This window comes from Homo sapiens, chromosome 6, assembly GCF_000001405.40.
Source record: "Homo sapiens chromosome 6, GRCh38.p14 Primary Assembly".
In the NCBI taxonomy this organism is placed as follows: domain Eukaryota; kingdom Metazoa; phylum Chordata; class Mammalia; order Primates; family Hominidae; genus Homo; species Homo sapiens.
In genome coordinates, this window is record NC_000006.12 from 71,446,813 (window position 1) to 71,469,044 (window position 22,232).

Sequence of the window (22,232 nt, forward strand, 5' to 3'; positions counted from 1 at the left end):
TTTGATAGATGTTAAAAGTTTTTAATCTCACTCCTTCTTCGCATATGCTTCATATACCATACTTTTTAAGTGAAATCTTACTCATTTCTTCACTTAGACATTATGCCTTTTAAGATCATTTGTTCTTGTTCATTCCATTTTACATCTATCACAATGCTTAGTGCTTTCTGAGCCATAGTAAGTACTAAACAAATTTGCGATATGAATGAAAGCATCATAAATGCTTCTTTCTTTCTTTCTCTGTCTCCCTCCCTCTTTCTTTCTTTCTTTCTTTCTTTCTTTCTTTCTTTCTTTCTTTCTTTCTTTCTTTCTTTCTTCTTTCTTTCTTTCTTTTTTTGTTCAGACAGAATCTTGCTATGTTGTCCAGGCTGGTCGACTCCTAGGATCAAGCTTCCCCCTCAGCTTCCTGTGTAGCTGAGACTACAGGTACACAACACCACACTGGCTCTGCTTCTTATCTTTCCCTAAGAAGGGAAAACAACTGTGGGTATCTGTCTGGGGAGAAGGGGCAGGGAGGGCAAGGATGGGAATGTTAGCTTGAGAAGGAAGCATGTGTATGTCCTCCCCCAGTCCTACTGGCACAGAAATTTTCCAAACCTGTGGAAGTGCAAGGGAAGCCATGAAATCGTTCTGTTCCTTCGTGGGTAGGAAGAAGAGAGATCCTCCTCCAAAACTCAGATAGTTTATGTGGAAGGGGAAAAAATAAGGCCAGCGTACAGGATCCAAGGAAAGAAAAATATGGGGATCTCACCATTGAGAAACATGCAGGAGTTTCACAGTCCAGGAGGATAACATGGGCACTAGAGCTCTAACTCCCATGACAAGCAAACACCTTGTCTGCCCAAGGGTGGTGAAATGAAGATAGCTGGTATTTATTAAATATTTACTAGTACCATCTGAAAATAATATTAAAAGTCAACCTCAGGCTTTAATGCCAGGCTGCTTGGATTCAAATTCTGGTTCTGCTACTCACCGGGTGTGCTATCAACCTCATGAGATAGTCAAGAGGATTATAAAATAAATACAAATTTATAGAATGTTGAGAAGACAGGCTAGTATGTAGCAAATAACATATAGGCATGTATTAAATTGAAAATGTGAAGACATTATTTCCCAAGAAACCCTGTTTTATGTAGTAGTTTTGTGTAGTTCATCATAATTTTATAGCAGCTTCAAAACTGATGGTAATAAAAGCTGACCATCTGTATACCCTATGACTCAGCAACTCCTCTTTTAGGTATATACCCAACAGAAATGTGTATGTACAAACACCAAATGCAGGTACTAGAATATTCACAGCAGTACTCACATAATAGCCCCAAACTGGGAACTACTCAAATGCCCCTAACAATAAAATGAGAGAACAAATTGTTGTATATTCACACCACAGCATACCCTACAGCAATGAAAACAAAAGATCTACTTCTACTTGTGACAATATGGATGAATCTCACAAACATGTGGAGTGTAAAAAAAAAGCTAGACACACAAAATAATATATACTGTATGATTCCATTTACGTAAAGTACAAAAATAAGCAAAACTAATCTCTGCTGTTAGGAATCAGGATAATTATTATCCTTGTGTGCAGGGAGGCTATTGGGGTGCTGGTAACCTTTTGCTTTTTGATCTGAGTGTTGGTTACACAGGAGCACTCATTTTATGAAAATTCATTGAGCTATGATATGTTTATGTGTACTTTGGGTATGAATGTTCCACTTCAATTAAAATTTTTACAAAGTGATGTGACAATGAAAGCAAAATAGAACCTATTATAATCAAGATTTAGTAAATAATCATAGATCAATATATCAGTGAGGAAGGTGATCAGAAAGATAATCAATAAATCTTTGGGGCGTGAAGATGGAGACCTGTTAAAGCTGAGAACCAACCAAAGAAGGATTTGCACTGAACAGCTTAGCAATGAATGTTCTTCCAGAGAGGCTATTTGAGAGGTGCTCCCACATTGAGCTGCCTCACAAGAGCAAGACATCAACTGAGAAGGCATCCCTAGGGACCAAAAAGTTATCCCTGATCAACAGAGAGGACATTCCCTTGAGACCTGCTAGATGTGACAGAACATCAGTTTGAATAGATCATTAAAACTGTCCAACAGGCCAGGCACAGTGGCTCACGCCTGTAATCCCAACACGTTGGGAGGCCAAGGCGGGTGGATCACCTGAGGTCAGGAGTTTGAGACCAGCCTGGCCAACATGGTGAAACTCTGTCTCTACTAAAAATACAAAAATTATCTGAACATGGTGGTGCACGCCTGGAGTCCCAGATACTCAGGAGGCTGAGGCAGGAGAATTGCTTGAACCTAGGAGGCACAGGTTGCAGTGAGCTGAGATCACGCCACTGCACTCCAGCCTGGGCAACAAGAGCAAAACTTGGTCTCAAAAAAATAAAAATAATAAAAAATAAATAAAACTGTCCAACAAAGAAAGTGTATTAGGCCATTCTTACATTGATATAAAGAAATACCTGAGACTGGGTAATTTATAAGAAAAGAGGTTTAATTGGCTCACAGTTCTGCCAGCTATACAGGAAGCATGACACCAGCATCTGCTTTTGGGGAGGCCTCAGGAAACTTACAATTACAGTGGAAGACAAAGCAGGAGCTTACACAACACATGGTGAAAGCAGGAGTTTGGGTGGGGAGGTGCCAGACACTTTTAAATGACCGGATCACATGTGAACTCAGAGTGAGAGCTCAGTTATCACCAAGGGGATGGCCCGAGCACTCATGACAGGTCCGCCCCCAAGATCCAAATATCTCCCACAGGGTTCACTTCCAACACTGGGGATTACATTTCAACATGAGATTTGGGAGGGGACAAATATCCAAACTATATCAGAAAGCATCAAAGCAATACAGACAATCTACTCACAAGGAAAATTGTGTTGTACCACTGGGTTTTGTATCAGAAAACAAAAATGGGAACTCCCTAGAACTACTTTATGGAATTATGACGAAAAATGCTCCTGCTCCATAAAAGCTGGTGAACGCGATCCTATTCACCAACTTAGACTGTGAACTATATGTGCATATATATGTGTGTGGTGTGCATAGCATATGAATGAATACACATAAATAGATAAAACATTGCCCTGAAACATCTTAAGAGATATCGTTATAAAAGACGGTATTTGAGGTAGGCTTTATGTAGTATCAGTATAGGTCGATTCTATAGTCAGGGACATGATAGGTTAACAAGGTTCAGTACGTTGGTCTGGGAGCCTAAAGCACCTCCATATCTTTCCATCATTCAAACATATACACATTTATCAAACTGAAATATGAACTTATTATTCTACACCATTGTATCAGTGGAACTAATGAACTATAAATTCTAAGTTAGAAATGATGAAATAGCAACACATATTTTGGAACTGCTTTTACTACCAATAAAGACATTGGCAAGATGCTAGTTTAGCCATTTGGAGAGAGTTGGTGTCATGTTATTTCTATGTTAGTATTCCAAATATTCATCAGAATGTTTTAGCCCCATTGTTTTAATCTTTAATCTTTATAACTTTAAAGAATAAAAGGAATTTATGTGATAAGAAAGCCTACCAACTAAGACTTCAATACTTCAATCCTGTCTGTATAGTGGCAACCACTGGTTAATAGGGAATTGATAGAAGCAAGGCTTTTGGCTGCTAAATTGTATTAAAACTTATAGATGAGTTTTATTTCATTCTTTTGTGGCCACCTAAAATTTATATCACTTTTACTAGTTTTGAATATTTTAATTTTACTTAAGTTCAGGGGGTTTGATGGTGGCATTGGAGAAGGTGTTATACTAATACAACTTTCCTCCACTTAATTCCATTATCCCTATTTAACCTCTTCACACGCATCTCCCAGTGCTCATAGTTAAATCTCTTCTTTCTGCAACTGCCTTCTCTGACTGTTCTTGCAGCCTTAAGGGCCTTTTAGCATAGCAATCCCTATGTCCAGTCAATAGCCATTCTATCTTCTCACACTTACTATTATCTTTCACAGATAAATACACCTAAGGAGTTATTATTTATTGTCACAAAAGCAACTAAACAAGTTTCATGTGAGAGCATTATTTGTCTTAAAATAAGTAAGTTAATATAGTTTCTTTCTTTTCTAAAAATGCCATTGCTATTGATACAAATAACACAGATGTTCAGAAAATATTGAGTAGGTTGTGAGTTATGTCTGCAATTGTACCACTTATTAATATGTTGTTTCCCCTGAAGAGTGACTTTAATAATTCCAAAGTGTTATGTGATTAGATAAAAGGGTGAAAAGGACAGTTTGCTGGTTTTGTATAGAAGAAGCATACCATTCCTCGTGGAGGAATTGGTAATTCAGAAGAGAATTCAGTGGAGGAAGGCAGGTGGGTGATGCAAGCCTATGGAGATGGAAGAGCCCTGGCTTTTAAGCTAGTTGTCCAGTGATCAAATATAATAGTTAGTAATTAAAATCTGGTTGGCTTTTTTTTTTGAAACAGAGTCTTGCTCTGTCACCCAGGCTGGAGTGCAGTGGTGTGGTCTCCACTCACTGCAACCTCTGCCTCCTCAGCTCAAGTCATTCTCATGCCTCAGCCACCTAAGTAGCTAGGACTGCAGGCATCTGCCACCATATCCAGCTAATTTTTGTATTTTTTTTTTTTTTTTTTTTTTTTGTAGAGACAGTGTTTCACTGTTGCCCAGGCTGGTCTTGAACTCCAGAGCTCAGGTGATCCCCCCTTGGCCTCCCCAAAATGCTGGGATTACAGGCAGGAGCCACTGTGCCAGGCCAAAATCTGGTTGGCTCTTGATAATTATTTCTTGATTGACTGGATGGAAAAATAATTGAATAAATAAAAGAAGTGGATTTATCTCAAACAAAGGCTTTGATCTGTTGATGAAGAACTTATTTTCTTATCTATTATGTGTGGATCTTAGATTAAATCTTCAGAAAGTTAAGCTCAGAACCTATTATTTGCTGTATTCTAGATTTCCTTTTTCGTTTTGTTTTGTTTTTGTTTTTTGAGACAGAGTTTCACTCTTGTCACCCAGGCTGAAGTGCAATGGCACCATCTTGGCTCACTGCAACCTCCGCCTCCCAGGTTCAAGTGATTCTCCTGCCTCAGCATCCTGAGTAGCTGGGATTATAGGAGCCTGCCACCGCACCCAGATAGTTTTTGTATTTTTAGTAGAGACTGGGTTTCACCATGTTGGCCAGACTGGTCTCGAACTCCTGACCTCAGGTGATCTGCCCGCCTCGGCCTCCCAAAGTTCTGGGATTACAAGCTTAAGCCACCGCACCCAGCCTAGATTTTCAATCAAGAATATGCTCAATATTTCAAGAGACTCAGAAGATCTTTGCGAAGTACATATATATTTTGTTGATATATACAAATATTTCCAAGTAAAAATTCATGTGAACAACATTTAAACCAATTTTATTGCTTTGATAAAGTATAATTTTGATGAGCATAAACTTTAAGTATAATGTGAACAAAATAGTTAATTATTTTAAGGGAATTTTATTTAAAGAGGTTAGATATCCAATTGTAGACACATTTCAGTTCTTTCAGATACTAGCATTTCCAAAAAGACTAAATGACCTGTAAGACTATTGAAAAACTGACAGCTTATTATTAGTTTACCCTACCCAGTAGAGAAGATGATTATTTACTATGTACCATATACTTGACACATTTAAGTAATCCTTACTTTTTATAATTACTCTCTGTTAAGTATTATAATTTCTATTTTACAGATAAGAAATCAAATTCACTAAGTAACTTGTCAAGGATACAATACCTAAGTGGAAGAAGCAGGATTCGACCTAGGTCCACCTGCTTCCAAAACCTATTTAGTTTCTATTGCACAATGCTGTCTCTACAGTCAGATGAATGTTAGATGAATGAAGGCACACACATATACACATACACACACACATAAATGGCAAATTTCCTTACTTCTATCCTAATCCAAAACTTGTACTGGCAGCAAAAGCATACAGGTGCTGTAATTATGTAGGCAAGAAAATAAAACCTAGAGAAAGCATATTCTGAATAGGAGAGAACATGGTTTATTCTTGTAATCACTTAACTGAATGCAGGCATTCCATTGTGACTCAGATTCTAATTGAAGCACAGTAGAAGTTTAGAAACTGTGTTAATGGTTTTTTTTCCCACTTACCTTTTCCTTTGTCAATGTCATAGGGTGCTAGGAATCACTCCACTCTGAAGGATTCCCTTGTCTTCATGGCCCAGTTTCTCTGACACCGTGTTTATTCTTATGATGACCATGGTGGTAAGCGGGGACTTGACAAGATCCCTTTTGCCCTTTTATTGTCAACGGAATTTAATAGAACAACTTCTTTGAGGCTCTTCAAACATGAACTCTCCATTTCAAACTGCTTCCAAGTATGTCACTACTAAACAGAAATTTCTAGTGAAAGAAATAAACCATATGCTGCTTTTCCCTTCAGCTTATTTTAACCATATGGTACTAGAAATCGGAATGTTACAGTGCTATTAATTTAAACTCCCCGTGTTTCCAGCACTACTGTTCCCCAGTTAATTTAAAGAAATCTTTACTACTGGCCTGGAAAAACTGTCTTTGCCAAATAATTAAGAAGCAACATGAGGAGAGAACATGTAACTGAAAGGTGCACTCAAGTGGGCCTGAGCCTAAGAACACCACTCTAAACCCAGAGTTCACAGAACACATACTGAACTATTACAAGAGTTCTGTGTTTGCACTTAATTCTGGCTTGGAACAGAGCTCACAGGTTGTCACTGATATCCTACTCACTGTTTTTAACAAAAGGGCTGAGTCTGGAGCATTATCCTTCATTTGAATTACACATATTGAGTACTTCAAAAGCTACAGAAGTTATTTGAGGTAACTATAAAAATGTTTTTATTTATAGTTTTATTAAAAAGCATAAACATGTTTTCAACACTGGAAGAATGACAACATATCTTCAACATAAATTCAGTAGGACACTAAGTTTTTTAAGAAAATTATAAAATAAAAGTTTGTTCATCTTAGAAATTAGAAAAAACTGAAGAAATTAGTCACACAGAGATGCAATGTCCACTCTTCAAATATAACTGTTGATTTAAATTTTAAAAAGATAAAAGATAATATAAATTAATTTCATGTAAACTAAAAAGTGTAACTCAGAGCCTTTGCAAATTTCATATTCGTGTCTGTTCTTTGCTTTTCATTTTGTTCAGGGTGTATTGGGACACTGAGATTGTTTGGCTCTATGTCCCCATCCAAATCTCATGTGGAATTGTAATCCCCATGTGTTCAACGTGAGGCCTGGTGGGAGGTGATTGGATCATGGGGGTGGTTTCTAATGGTTTAGCAACACCCCCCTAGTGCTGTCACATGATAGAGTTCTTACAAGAGATCTGGCTGTTTAAATGTGTGTAGCACTTCCCCCTTCTCTCTCTCTTTCTCTCCTGCCATTTGGTGAGAAGGTGCTTGTTCCCCTTTGCTTTCTGCCATGATTACAAATTTTCTAAGGCCTCCAGTCATGCTTCCTGTTAAGCCTGAGGAACTGTGAGTCAATTAAACCTCTTTTCTTCATGGATGACCTAGTCTCAGGTAGTTCTTTATAGCAGTCTGAGAACAGACTAATACAGACACAAATAAGGTTTCCATTTTTTATTTTAATGTCATGTTTATCAATATTTTTCTTTATGAGTTTTGGCTTATTAAGCCCCATTTAAGAAATTCTCCCCTACTTTAAACTCATATACATGTTTAAAAATTTTTTTCTTCTAAAAGTTTTAGTTTTCACTTGTAGGTATTTAATAAGCCTGAAATTTATTTTCCTGTATAGTAGGGATTTATATCTGATTCTCCCTCACTGCCATGAGAAAAACCAACTGTTGCTGCATCATTTATTGGATAATTCATAATTCCCAACCAATTTTTAATGACAATTCTGTTGCACAACATTATTTGAGATATGTCTGAGTCTATTTCTGATCTCTGTATTCTGTACTCTTTGTCAATTTGTCTGTCCTTGGCTTAATACATTACTTTTTTAATCATTATAAATATAGAAATTGCTATCTTATAGGACAAATCCCCATTTAATGCTCATCTTCAGAGTTGTCTTGGCTATTCCTGGCCCTTTAGTTGTCCAAATGAATTTTATGATAACAATGTCAAATTTCTTAAAAATGTGTGAGAGTTTTACTATAATCATATCGCATTTATAGATAAATTTTGAGGAAAGTCTTTTTTAACTTCATATTATTGAGTCTCTCCATCCATATTTTGTTAGAACCCTAGCATCTATAGCATCTATCTTAGTGGTTATTGCTAGTGTATTGAGTTGCTATTTATTTTGTATGCTGATTAGATAAGCAGAAAACTTTCCTGATTTCTCAATATTTAAAATATTTTTTTATATTTCTATGGTTTTTCCATGCAATCATATCATCTGCAAATAAAGAGAGTCATATCCTTCTTTCTAATACTTATATCTTTTATTTCTTTTGCTTATCTTATTGCAATGGATAGGACTTCCAATAAAACGTTGAATAAAATGGTGATAGTAGTCTCTTTTATCTTGTTTCTGATTTAAAATAATGCCCCTAAGTTTTACAATTAAGGACAACGTTTGTTTTAGGTTTTTAATAGATTTTTTAAGTTAGGATAAGGAAATAGCCTTCTCTTCTGAATTTATTAAATTTTCTTATTATAAGTGCAATTATAAAAAATTAATATATGTTTCCAGCATTTACCTAGATGCTTCTGTAGTTTCTGTCCTTTACTTATTACTCTTGGCACCTAGGGGTGCCAAGATGGTTCAGCATCATAAAATCTCATGATATATTCATGATATATTTATTTTTAATAGATAGCTTAGTGACATTTGCTTGCATTTTATTTAATATTTTGGAATCTGTATTTATAAGTGAAACACTTATGTACAATTTATAAGTGAAATGCTTTCTTGTATATTCCTTGCCAGGTATTGATTATTGTTTTGTTGCTATTGTTCCTGTGGTTTTCTACAACAGTTTATATAAAACAATAATAATTTTTTCCTTGGAGTCAAGATTACTACTAATGCAATTTGGACCTCAGCCCTTTTGTGGGAATATAATAATAATCTAACTATTAACAATATAATTCCATTAAGGTTTGTTGCTTTATTGTGGTTCTCCTTTTCGTCTTGAGTTTCTGTTAGTGATTTATATTTTCCTAAATAGTATTCATTCCATCAAAGTTGTACAACTTATTTGCCAAAAATTTTTCCTAGTATATCATATGACTGTTTAAAATCTTTCTAATATCTGCAATTAGTCCTCTTTTAATTTTTAAGATAGTTTATCATATCACCTCTCTGTTTCTTAAATAGTATTTCCGGAGGTTCTAGGTAGTTTTCCTGATTCATTCTATTGTTTCTTAGCTTTTGTTTAGTCCATTTTCACACTGCTATAAAGATACTACCTGCTATAAAGACAGGGTAATTTATAAACAAAAGAGGTTTAATTGACTCACAGTTCTGAATGGCTGGGGAGGCCTCAGAAAACTTACAGTCATGGTGGAAGACAAAGGGAAAGGAAGGCATCTTCTTCACAAGGCAGCAGGAGAGAGAGTGAGCCAGGGGAAACTGCACCTTTTAAACCATCAGACCTCATGAGAACTAATTCACTATTATAAGCCCAGCATGGGGGAAACCGCCCCCATAATCCAATCATCTCCCACGAGATCCCTCCCTCAACACGTGGGGATTACAATTCTTGATGAGATTTAAGTGGGTACGCAGAGCAAAACCATGTTAGTTATATATGTATATATTATATATATTATGTATTTTATATATATATACACATATGTACATATATATAACTGATATGGTTTTGCTCTGTGTATATGTATATATGTATATGTATATTTATATGTATACATATACATATATAATATGTATACATTATATATATTATGTGTGTATATATATATATATATATATTTTTTTTTTTTTTTTTTCCGAGATGGAGTCTCACTCTGTCACCCAGGCTGGAGTGCAGTGGTGTGATCTTGGCTCACTGCAACCTCTGCCTCCCAGGTTCAAGCAATTCTCCTGCCTCAGCCTCCTGAGTAGCTGGGATTACAGGCGTGTGCCACCACATCCAGCTAATTTTTGTATTTTTAGTAGAGACGGGGTTTACCATGTTGGTCAGGCTGGTCTCAAACTCCTGACCTTGTGATCCAACTGCCTCGGCCTCCCAAAGTGCTGGGATTACAGGCATGGGCCACCACGCCCAGCTAAGTTTTATATATACATTTTTTGCTTTCATTTTTATTATTTTTTTTTACTTTCTTTATGTTTACTTTGCTGTCTTTTTTAGTTTTTTGAATTGAATACACTGGATATTTTGAAATTCTTTTTCATATTGTTTTGTTTTAATACATGCACTTATGTCTATGAATGTACATTGGCTTTATTACACACATTTTTTATATAGTACATAAAAATTTCATTCTAAAAATTTTGTAATTTCCATTTCTATTTCCTCTTTGATTCAAGGATTATTTAGGAGTTTTAGTTTCTAATATATATTTTACTATATTTTTATTCATAATTTATAATTGTTATCAAAGAACGTGTTTTGTATAATATAATTTCTTTAAAGTTTATTGAAACCTACTTTGTGAACAATATTGTTCCTGTGTACTGAAATTTTCTTTTTCTATTTTCTGGGTTATATGTAGATAATATACATATATCATCAATGTTGTTTATATTGTATGTTTTATATATTTGCTGTTTTTATTTTTTAGATATTTACTAATTTGTTATGTACTTAATCCCTCAGTTTCTAGTAAAAGCATGTTAAACCCCTATACTATGATTGCGATTTGCAGAGTTTCTCCTTGTTATTCTTCGTGGTCTAATTGTCTTGGATAATTCTTCCTATCAGTTAGGGTGTGATCAGAAAATCAGGAAGACTTTGAGTAATGTTGAGGAAGGGATTTATTATAAGGGTTGGACCATAAACAACTGTGGGCTCTGGCTAAACTGTCTGTGCTGCTGCTTGTCTGGGGCTGCACCTAAAGGCAGCAGGGCCAACAGGAAGGAAAGTGGACATGAAATGGGGAGAGCAGGAATAAGCCAGAAGCTGTGAGAAGACAATGAAAACTCAGAGGACACACTGGAAACTGTGTCTGTCTCACTGCCTTCAGGCCTCCACATTTGATGATATTAATCACCTGTAGGGGAAGCTGAAGCCCTTTGCCACAGAGCTGCACATGTTGGTGCAGAAGTCACAGAAGCTGTGGGAAGAGGTCCAGCAAGAGTCACAGGAGCTCTGGGACCAGCTGCTGCCCCAGGTGCTGCAACAGCTGAGCTGCAGAGCACAAATATGGTTGTTACTTAACTCCTGCCTTCCAAATTTCATGCAAATTTCTATTGAGGCCCGCCCTAATCTGGAAGCATACAGGGATGGGGATTCTGGAAAGTCTAGTTTCAGATTAGCTAGAATGACTGCACAAAGCCAACACAGTTTCCCTCACTATTTAGTTTCTTTCTTTATTCTTTTAAATGCTTTTAGCCTTTAACTATTCTGTTCGATATTAATGTTCTTACACTACTTTCTTTTGTTTAGGTTTTGCTTCATAGAAGTTTCTCATCCCTTTATTTAACTTTCTATTTGTATTAGACATGAAAATCCATGGCTCATATCTCCTGCTCAGGGAACATAATCAACCAGGTGTCCCAGCTGCTGTTCTTCTGGGTCCGCCACTGTGTTCATGTTAAGGCCACATTTCCCACAGGCTACTCAAGCAGCAACTGAGCATAACAGGACAACTAATGCAGGTCCATTTCTGGAACACATGGAACTCCACAACCAGGTGACCTTGACCTAAGGACTCCCAATTAGAGTGTCAAAAATGCCTTGAAACTGGATCGTGGTTTAAGAGTCTTCCTATTCAATCCTACATTCCCTCTCCCTTTCACAGGGGTCAGACCTTCATGACAGGCTGAAGAGTTCCTTCTCCTCTTCTCCCTTTTACTTTACAAACATTTCTCCAATAAATTTCTTACACATCTAATTTTGTCTCTTCTTGGTGTCTGCTTCTTGGAGAACCTGAACTAATGCACTGTGTATGTGTCACTTGTAAAGCATGTTTTAAGAGGTCTATGTTTAATTTTATTTTAATCTGACAAATTTTTCTTTTAATGGATGAGTTTAATCTCATGTTCTCTACTTGTGGTATATGATATGTTTAGTTTCACTATTATATTGTTTTCTCTTTGCCAGCCTACTTCTTTACCTTTAGTTTTCCCCTTTCATGTTTTCAATTTGACTGCTTAAATCCTAACAGGAAAAGCATGGGCTACTACAATAACAAAGCTTAAACTATAAGTGGCTTCAATTCAAAGTTATTTCTCACCCATTTTGTATGATCATTGTACATTGGCTTATTTAGTCTCTCAGAAACCCAAACCGATGAAGGCTCCATCTCAACACACACTTTCCTAAGAAAGGCAAATAAAAGAGAATATGCCAAACACTCACTGGCTCTTCAAGCTTCCATCTAGAAGTGACACACGGCACTTCCACCTCCATTGACTACAAGTAGTTACTTGGCCACTAAATTCAAGTATTGTAGTTACCTGAATACCTAAATTCAAATGGGCAAGGAAATGCAATGCTATCATGTGCCCAGGTAGAAAAGGATATTTGTGTATAGTCCTATTGAATACCTTTATTCCCCTCTGTTGGGTTGAAAACCATACAATATATTCTTATGCTTTTAATGGTTGTTCTTAAATATGCTTTAAACCTATCTACTTAACTACACAGTTGGCCTCCATATCTGTGGGTTCCGCATCTGTGGATTCAACGAAGCATGAATTGAAAATACTTGAGAAAAAGACATCTGTACTGAACATGTGCAGAGTTTTTCTTGTCGTTATTCTCCAAAACAATAGAGTAAAACAAGTATTTACATAGCACTTATATTGTATGAGACATTTCAAGTTATCTAGAGATGATTTAAAGTATACAGGAGGATGTTCATAGGTTATATGTAAATATTACACTGTTTTATGTCAGAGACCTGAACATCAATGGGTTTTGGTATCCACAGGAAATCCTGGCACTAATCCCTCACAAATACTGCAGGATTATTGTATTTCACTTTTTTAAACAAAGTCTAAATGTATGTAATATTTTAATCTTGTACCCAAATTCAAGAAAACATTAATGGGCTTTAACTATCTCTCTTTTTTTCTTTGCTTAAAATAAATAATTTATCAGTTTTCTTCTTGATTGTGTTTTTATATTCACGGGCACATTTTAAATTTCAAGATTCTAATCTTTTTTTCGTATCTCCAGTTCCTATTACATTTCTGCCTAATTTTGTTTCATAATTTAATGATTCTTTACATTAGGGGTCTACAAACCGTGGCCCATGGTCTATATCTGGGTCACTGCTAGTTTCTATAAGTAAAGGTTTATTGAAACACACACATGCTTATTCATTTATGTACAGAGTGTCCCCAACTTACTATGGTTCAATTTACAGTTTTTTGACTTTCCAATAGTGATTCCAGCTATGTATAATATATTAATGGTAGTACCCATATAACTCTTCTGTTTTTCACTTTCAGTACAGTATTCAATAAACCACATGAGATATTTAACACTTTATTATAAAATAGGCTTTGTGTTAGATAATTTCCAAATGTAGGCTAATGTTTAAGTGTTCTGAGTATGTTTATGATAGAATAAGCTAAGCTATCATGTTTGGTGGGCTAGGTGTATTAAATCCATTTTTGACTGAAGCTATTTTCAGCCTATGATGGGTTTATCAAGACATAACCACATCATAGATTGAGGAGCATCTTTATGTCTATGGCTGCTTTCTTGCTATAATAGTACAGTTGAGTAGTAAAAAAAAGACTGTGTGGCCAGCAAAGACAAAAAGTATTTACCACCTAGCACCTTACAAAAAAAAAATTTGCACACCCCTGCTTTAAATGAGTTATGGACTTTCATTTTAAAGTTTTGATCACTTTAAACATACTTTAAAACAACTCTTTTTCAGACTGTCGTACAACATTAATTTCATCTGGAGGGCTGTCTTCCCTAGAATTGCATTTCCTCGTGGGTTTTAGAACTTTGAAATATGGGCTCATTTTGAGAAGTGTTTTGTTTGTTAAATGTTATTCTTCCCTTTTTCTCTCTTCCAGTGTCTTTCCTCTCTCCTGTCTAGCTGTTTTGTAGTTATCACCACTGGGTCTCAGCACTGCAGTATAGAAACTGGTCTTACAATGGCAGTTTCGATTGATGAGGTTTTCCTTCTTGATGACTATAGGATTCTTGTGAATCCAGTCATCAAACCAGGAGAGTTGTTTGTGTAGTCACAAGATTCTTTCCTCCTTCAGCATCTCTATATTCACAGCTTGCTGTAATGCTTAGCCATCGTTAATAATCAGTAGTATGTTCTGAGCCGCTTTTGATCAGAGAAGAGGGCAGACTCACCATAGCCACTAACTTCAATTGATACCTGGTTCAAATCTCTGCTTTGAACCAGGAGAGCAAGCACCTGCTCAGTGTTGCCTGCTTCTAAACTAGGACCCTACCAGATCTGTAACTTATTCTGGTTCATCTATTTTTATTTCTGCTGTTTCTGAGCCACAGAATTGTTTATCATATTTTTTAATCTTGGACTTAGTGCTTGGCTTTCTTTTAAAAAAATTTCAACATGTTATTGGCACACATTTGGAGCAGAGGGATGCATCAAAGCATGAACTGATGGCACTACCTTGACTGAAAATCTCCATTACATAGTCGATGTGATGATATAATGGTATCTGTTTATAGTATCTATTTACTGGGTAATTAAAATCATAAGCATTGAGTTTAAATGAAGTTACTTGAGTGACTGATGATGAAGTAAATTCAGAGTTACTTTTCACAGGGGATACATCACGTTTTGCAAACTGCAGGATTTAAGTAGAAGTATTAAAGTAAATCAAATCTTTAATTCAGCAGAATAGAACTATCTTTATAGAAAGTAATATAAACTTGATTTCAAAAGAAAATCATAGTTCTGCATCTGAGAAGACAAAAGAAAAACAAAATCAGTTAGTAGAGTTTTACGTTTTATCAAGGCAAAGAGGCAAAAACAATTATATGGACAGAGAGTAAGGTATGATCTAAGCTACCAGCAATATTCATGAATTGTTTTTCATTTCATCTGAAATCTTTCATTTTAGAGCTCTAGTGGTTAATGTTCAGCTGTTAGTTTATTACTTAATGGTTTAAAAGGACAAAAGGAGTAATAACTCATTTTTTTGAGACTGAATTTTATTTTCTTATACAATCTCCTTTGTTTCTGTTTTTGATTTCTGGATTAACCTGGAGAGTCATGGTTGAACCACTGGTGGAAGGAGACTGAGTCCCTCCATCAGTGCCTGACTAGAAACATCCAGATTGGACTGTTAGATAAGTGAGAAATAAACTGATGTTTTGCCTAAGATCTGGTGGTGTATTGTTACTGTAACTAGTGTTGCCTTAATTAATGCAATGCTAGATGATACATTTCCGTCCTGCACCTGTTCTCCTAGCAGATTTTTAAAAGACTTGGAACCAACCCAAATGTCCAACAATGATAGACTGGATTAAGAAAATGTGGCACATATGCACCATGGAATACTATGCAGCCATAAAAATGATGAGTTCATGTCCTTTGTAGGGACATGGATGAAACTGGAAACCATCATTCTCAGCAAACTATGGCGAGGACAAAAAACCAAACACCGCACGTTCTCATAGGTGGGAAGTGAACAATGAGAACACATGGACGCAGGAAGGGGAACATCACACACCGGGGCCTGTTGTGGGGTGGGGGGAGGGGGGAGGGATAGCATTAGGAGATATACCTCATGCTAAATGAGGAGTTAATGGGTGCAGCACACCAACATGGCACATGTATACATATGTAACAAACCTGCATGCTGTGCACATGTACCTAAAACTTAAAGTATAATAATAATAAAAAAAATTTTTAAAAATGTTTTCAGCTTAAATACATGGTTTTCAATAGCTCTAATTTTTGTATGTCAGAGGAAATCAGAAAATTTATCTTATATTTATAAAAGTTATTTCCACATAATCAACCAATAAGTTTTTTAAACTGAAAATGAGCTTTATTTTGGTCATGAAAGGCTAATTTTAATTTGCTTTCCATTAAAGCAAAACAAAGATGCATTTTTAGATGGCTCTTTGGTCATCTGTTTCTATTCAATGGTTGCTTATTACTTAATCTTAGTTTCAAAACTGAAATGGTATTTGAATAAAGTCTATCCAAATTTGAAAGTTGTCATTGGGATGAATATGCTGTGTAGTCGACCAAGAACAGGCTTTGCCTAGTGAAGCTTGAGAAAGATTATTTTAGAACTAATAAAATAAAGGAGTTTCAACAAATCTGAACAATGTGTACCACACTCTCTTGAAACTGCTTATCTGTTTCTTCAAACAGATATTTATTGAGCAATTTCCATGTATAAACTACCATGCTGGGCCCTGTAGGCAAAGAAAAAGAAATATGATTCACTCTCTCACAGCCTCCAGGATCTTAAATTGTGGAGACAAGAGATACTCAAATATGTTACATGAGATAGTGTATGATAAATGTTAAGAGTGCTAGAGCAATAAGTAATGCAGAAAAATAATCCAGAAAAGGGATACGGAAACTCCAGCTGAGGTAATTAGAGGTTTAGCTTGAAAAAGGGGATGATTTGGTATATTTGTAACAGGTTGAACAGCATACCCAAACTCTATGTAACAGGGTGAGATGGTTTGTGGCAAGGGTGTCTTTAGACCCCTTGATTCCAATCATGAGGTTGAGGCATTCTTACCAAATTTTGCAGAGACATGATTCTGTCATTGGATGACAAATCTATTGTTCATAAAAAGTAGACATGTAGGTTTCCTACTACATATTGAGCCTGAAATAAAATTATTTTGTACATTATAATGAAGATAATAATAAATCTAGATTTAGAATTGGAAAACTTACGGTCGGGTTTTTACTTCATAGAATAAGCTGAGATAGTCACTTAATGTCTCTGAACCTCAGTTTTTTATGTAAACTGGGGATAAATATTTCTACCCTTTTTATGTGAATAGTAGTTATGAAGACCAAATGAGAAATGTGTAGGAAAGTGTTTTTTAGACTGTCAAAGGCTATGAAAATGTAAAGGGCATAATGGATGTGTGATGGATTAAAGAGAAACACAGATTTCTGTGACACTTATCTCATTAAAAGGTAGAGTCTTTACCCTGTCCCTTGACTTGAGAAAGAGGGGCTGGTGACTGTTTGGAGTAATGGAACACAGTGGAAGTGATGCTGTGGCAGCTTCTTGGGTCATGCTTTAAGAGATTAGCAGGTTCTGTGTGCTGTATTACAGGAATTTTTGCTCTTAAAACTGAGCAACCATGCTGTCAGGAAGCCCAAGAAGCCCATGTGAGAGAAACTGAGGAGTCCCAAACCAACCATCTCAGCTAAGTCCCAGCCAACAGCTATCACCAACTTGCCACTTATGTGACTGAACAGTGAATTATTTAGCCCTACTCAAGCTACTTTGTCTGACATTCTGTGGAAAACAAATGCACTTCCCCTGTCATGCCCTGTGTAAATTGCAGATTTGTCAGTAAAACAAATGACTGCTGCTGTTTTAAACCATTAAGTTTTGGGGTAGTTTGACAGTCAGCAATGAATTACTAGAACATGATATTTAGTAAATGAATTACTATGTTATTTCAGAGAGTACTATAACTCATCATACATATTTTATTTGCTTCAACTATAATTTTTATGATATAGTTTGAGGTGTCTTCACAACAAATATGCTCCAGAGGGAGGAAAAGAGGCTTCAGCTAGTTCAGGCTTCCTATGAGCACCTCCCTCATTTAACTCTTACAATGGATTGAATAATTCTTAAAATTTTTTATGGAGGAGCAGGATGAGACATGAAGCTTGTGGTAAGGTCTAATAGAAAAAAAAATCACAACAGAAAGGCTGGAGAAAAGTAATGACCTCTTCATCAGTATACTATTTTTCTTTTGAAAATAGTTCATGGTTTGCTAGAGATACTTTGTAGAAATTGAGCATCTGAATATGAAACACCAGACAACCATATGACCTGAGATGTGTAACGTATGTTTCACTAGATATTGTCTGATATACCCAAAAAACTTCTTTCAACATTTCCTTAAGTGAATGTCTTCTAAAGCCAAATTCTCTCAAGTTGTATCTATCTTAAAATATCTCTATTTCACCTTAATTTTGGAAGAATGTTTTTATGGGGTACAGAATTGTAAATTGATAGTGTAATTCTTTCTTTCAGCTTTTTAAAGGTGTCATGCCATTGTCAGTTAACTTCCATTGTTTCTGTTGAGAAGTCTGTCATATTCTTCTTTTTCTTTTTCTTCTAAATGTAGTGTGTGTGTGTGTGTGTGTGTGTGTTATGTGTGCATATGCATGTGTGTGGTGGCTGCTTTTAAGATTTTCTTTTTATCTTCGTTTTCTTGAGGCTTGACTTTGTATTTATATGGTTTGAGGCTCACTACATATTTGGTTTTGGATCTGTGGGTTGATAACTTCCATCAGTTTTTGATGTTTCTTAGCCAATGTCTCTTCAAATTATTTCTTTGGCACCATTTTATTTCTGTTCTACTTTTAGGAATACAATACACATATGTTGACCATTTGATACAGTGCCACAGACTGGGGATTGGTTGCTTTTCTCAGTTCCTAATTTTTTTTTCTTTTTTCATTTTAGTTTAGGTAATTCCAATTCACTTATCCTTTCTTTTGCTTTTTCTAGGCTGCTGTAAAACAAATCAAATAAATTCTTCATTTATGTTATTGGGTTTCCAAATCCTAGGATTTTTCTTTGTTTTTATGTTCCCAGTACTCTACTAAAATGAAATCTGGCATCTGTTCCCACATGTGAACCATGTTTTCCATTAGTTTTTCTTAAAAAAATTTAACATTTTTATATCAGATTTTTTATTTGCTAATTCTAATATTGTGGTCACATTTGAGTCTACTTCTATTGATTATTTATTGAATTGATTATGGGTCATATTACTCTGCTTGTTTTTATAACACACAATTTTTTATGCCAGAAATTGTGTGTAAAAGTACATATCTATTATTTACTCAGGGAAAAGAAATGTCTGTTCTTGTGACTGGCTGCAAGTGATGAAGCTAAAGCAATCTGATGTATAATTGAGCTGGGTTTGAGGTTTGTTGTAGCTTTTGTTAGATCTGTTAATTCACCACGTTTCAAATGTTTTACAGGCAGCATAGGAACTAGTTTATCTGGGCACTGTATAATTCTGGAAATGTCTTTATGTTTTACATCCCAGTGACTATACTACCCACATTTGGGGATTCCTGTGGTGGTCTTTTGTCTCTTTAGCTCTGCTTCTGACTTTCTAAGCCTCACAAAATCTCTTCATACTTTGCTGCTTTGCCCTTAGGTTTTGGCATGCTACTATCTTGCACTCAAGTAAGGCTCTGAATGACTTGTGGCTGATATTTCTCAGTTCAACTATTGTGCCTCCAGCTTTTGGTTTCTGTGTAATTGATCCACTTTAGAGGAAACATCTTTCTACCTTCTTTCCTTGTTCCCAGGCATTGGAGAAGCACTGTTGTGCACTCATTAAGGGCCTGAGGTGCAGGAAGCTCTCTCTGCCCTCTTCCTGTGCTCCTATTCTTCTGCAAGCTACTGCATGTGTTCAGTGAAGGCATTGTGAAATAAGACTGGCAGCTGGGTGTGTAAGTGCACTCTCACAGACCTCCTTGGAATCTCATACATCAGGCTAGCCACACACAGCTATTAAATCTTTATTAAAATTTTGGCCAGCTTCTCCTTACCTCTGTCTATAGCGGGTTTGCTCTTTCTCCTTACATATCCACAGATTTTGGGTTCTTCTTTCATAGAAAGGGCTTTTCTCTTTCTGGAATTTAATTTATTTAGATTTTGTTTTTGTCTTTAGCAATCTAATGCAAAAAAAAAAAATCATACCTTTATAACTTCTCTGGCTTGTTTCCTTTGTTACTTTGTTAGGGTGAGAGCAGTGGTCTCTTGACTTTATGCATCCTAACCAGAAGCTCTCATATCTTTATAATACATTACTTTCTTCCTTTAATTTTTCAGGGTTATTTTTGATGTTTGTAAACAATGCCAAATATTGATGTTATTCATCATGTGTTAATAAAGATGTGGAACTTAATCACAATCACATAAATTGAATTATAAAAATTTTTGGCCAGGCACGGTGGCTCATGCCTGTAATCCCAGCACTTTGGGAGTCTGAGGCAGGCGGATCATGAGGTCAGGAGATTGAGACCATCCTGGCTAACATGGTGAAACCCTGTCTCTACTAAAAATACAAAAACAAAATTAGCCGGGTGTGGTGGCGGGTGCCTGTAGTCCCAGCTACTTGGGAGCCTGAAGCAGGAGAATGGCGTGAACCTGGGCAGTGGAGCGTGCAGTGAGCCGAGATCGTGTCACTGCACTCAAGCCTGGGTGATGGAGCGAGACTCCGTTTAAAAAAAAAAAATTAATTTCAGGAAACATTCAAATAATTGTTTTAGGCGTTACCATAACTAAGCAATATGAATATGACTGATGCCTCTTCCAGATCTTAAATCTTTTAATTCAAGTAAAATCCATTACTTTTGATTTGTTCTGAAGCAAATTTTTAAAAAATTACAACTGAAACACCCTTCTTCATAAATACATGCAAATAATCTTTTTATATAGCTTCATACTTAGTAACCTTTTAATTTATTATATATTGGTATGTATTATATATAATATTTTATATACACACAAATATTTATGCCTTCAGTCCTTTTTCTGTCTCTCTTCTAGAACTTCTACCATTTCCTAAATCTCTATGACTATAGAAAGACCAAAATAAGGCATGATGTTTAAGAGAGAGAGTGCATGCAAGAGAGAGCAGGCACAATATATTTAGTAATTTTATTTTCTTTTGTAAAATTGCTACTATTTCTTCCAAAGATCAATGAATATTCCACAGAAGAGGTGCCATTACTTTAAGCTACCATGTATTGCTCTTGTGTATAGATACTTAATCCTCTATTGTGTCGATGGTTCTTGTTTATAAGGTTTGCTGCTCTCACATTAAAGGAAAACATGTAAATGTTATCAAAATACTTTTAATCTGTAGAGTAATTTCACTGATTGAAAGTGGCTAATTTGTGGCTATAACAGAAAAATCAACTGTGAACAAATAATATTTGTTCTGGTGCCTTTCTTTATGCAAGAAATACCAATTATTCTGGATTAAAGAGTTAGTCATAAAATAGTATTACACAGTGGGTAGAAGAGTCCCATATATATATACACACATGTGCATGAACAAGAAACACATGTTCTGTTGGATAGTACAAATAAGGCTGGGCATCTTAGTTGTAATAATGTGACTCCAAATTTTTCTAATCAAAAGTGGAATGGATTGGTTAATGCTGGTCATGCTGAGCTCAATAGATCTATCTCATTTTCTTCATATATAAAATCTTATTCAATCATAGGTAAAATGGCAATACAAAATAACACAAGAGCTCTAATAAAGTCTATGCCATTCATTGCTTTTTGATATGAGCTGCTTTATATTCTGATTATGTTGCTGCTATAAAATGAACAAAGAGTAACATGGAATTTGATAAAGACAAGAAAACTTTTATTAAACTTTTACAACAGTGAGATAAATTATTCATGCAATTGCATGAATAATGGTATCCATGCTGATTAAATCAGCTAAGAGGCAGCAAAATATTCACGTGCATGGCATGAGTTCCATTTTCAAATAGTTCTGAAATGAAAATGCAATATAAAACAACACAGTAGTTGGTCCACCAAAAATGGAAAGAAAAAAATGTGGAGTACAGTATTAATTCAAAAGGGGAGAGAAAAGTTTAAAGCACTTGCACTTCTGAAATCCACTAGCCAGAAGGAATGTTCAAAGACAGCAAAAATAATCCACAACTTCAAAGGAATTTAATGAAAGAGAAATAGCAAAGATGACGAGGGTGCAAGAGGGACAGACCTAGGGCTTAGAGGAGGGAGAGAATGAGTATTTATCCAATGAACCATTCATAGCCTATTCTATCTGAGGCTTGAATAAAATAGGATTCTCTCCAAATTAAGCTGTTGGGCACATGCCAGCGTT

At 35.7% G+C, this 22,232-nt stretch overlaps 1 long non-coding RNA gene across 1 annotated transcript in view; it reads left to right on the forward strand.

The window, feature by feature from the left end:
- The window catches only part of LINC01626 (long intergenic non-protein coding RNA 1626), a 37,846-nt gene extending 25,786 nt beyond the window's left edge, over positions 1-12,060 (forward strand). The window contains exons 5-8 of the long non-coding RNA NR_121615.1: positions 4,010-4,094; positions 6,192-6,282; positions 11,667-11,859; positions 11,968-12,060. This is a non-coding gene — a long non-coding RNA (long intergenic non-protein coding RNA 1626). The remainder of the gene's footprint in view (positions 1-4,009; positions 4,095-6,191; positions 6,283-11,666; positions 11,860-11,967) is intronic.
- The last annotated feature ends 10,172 nt before the right edge of the window (positions 12,061-22,232 follow it).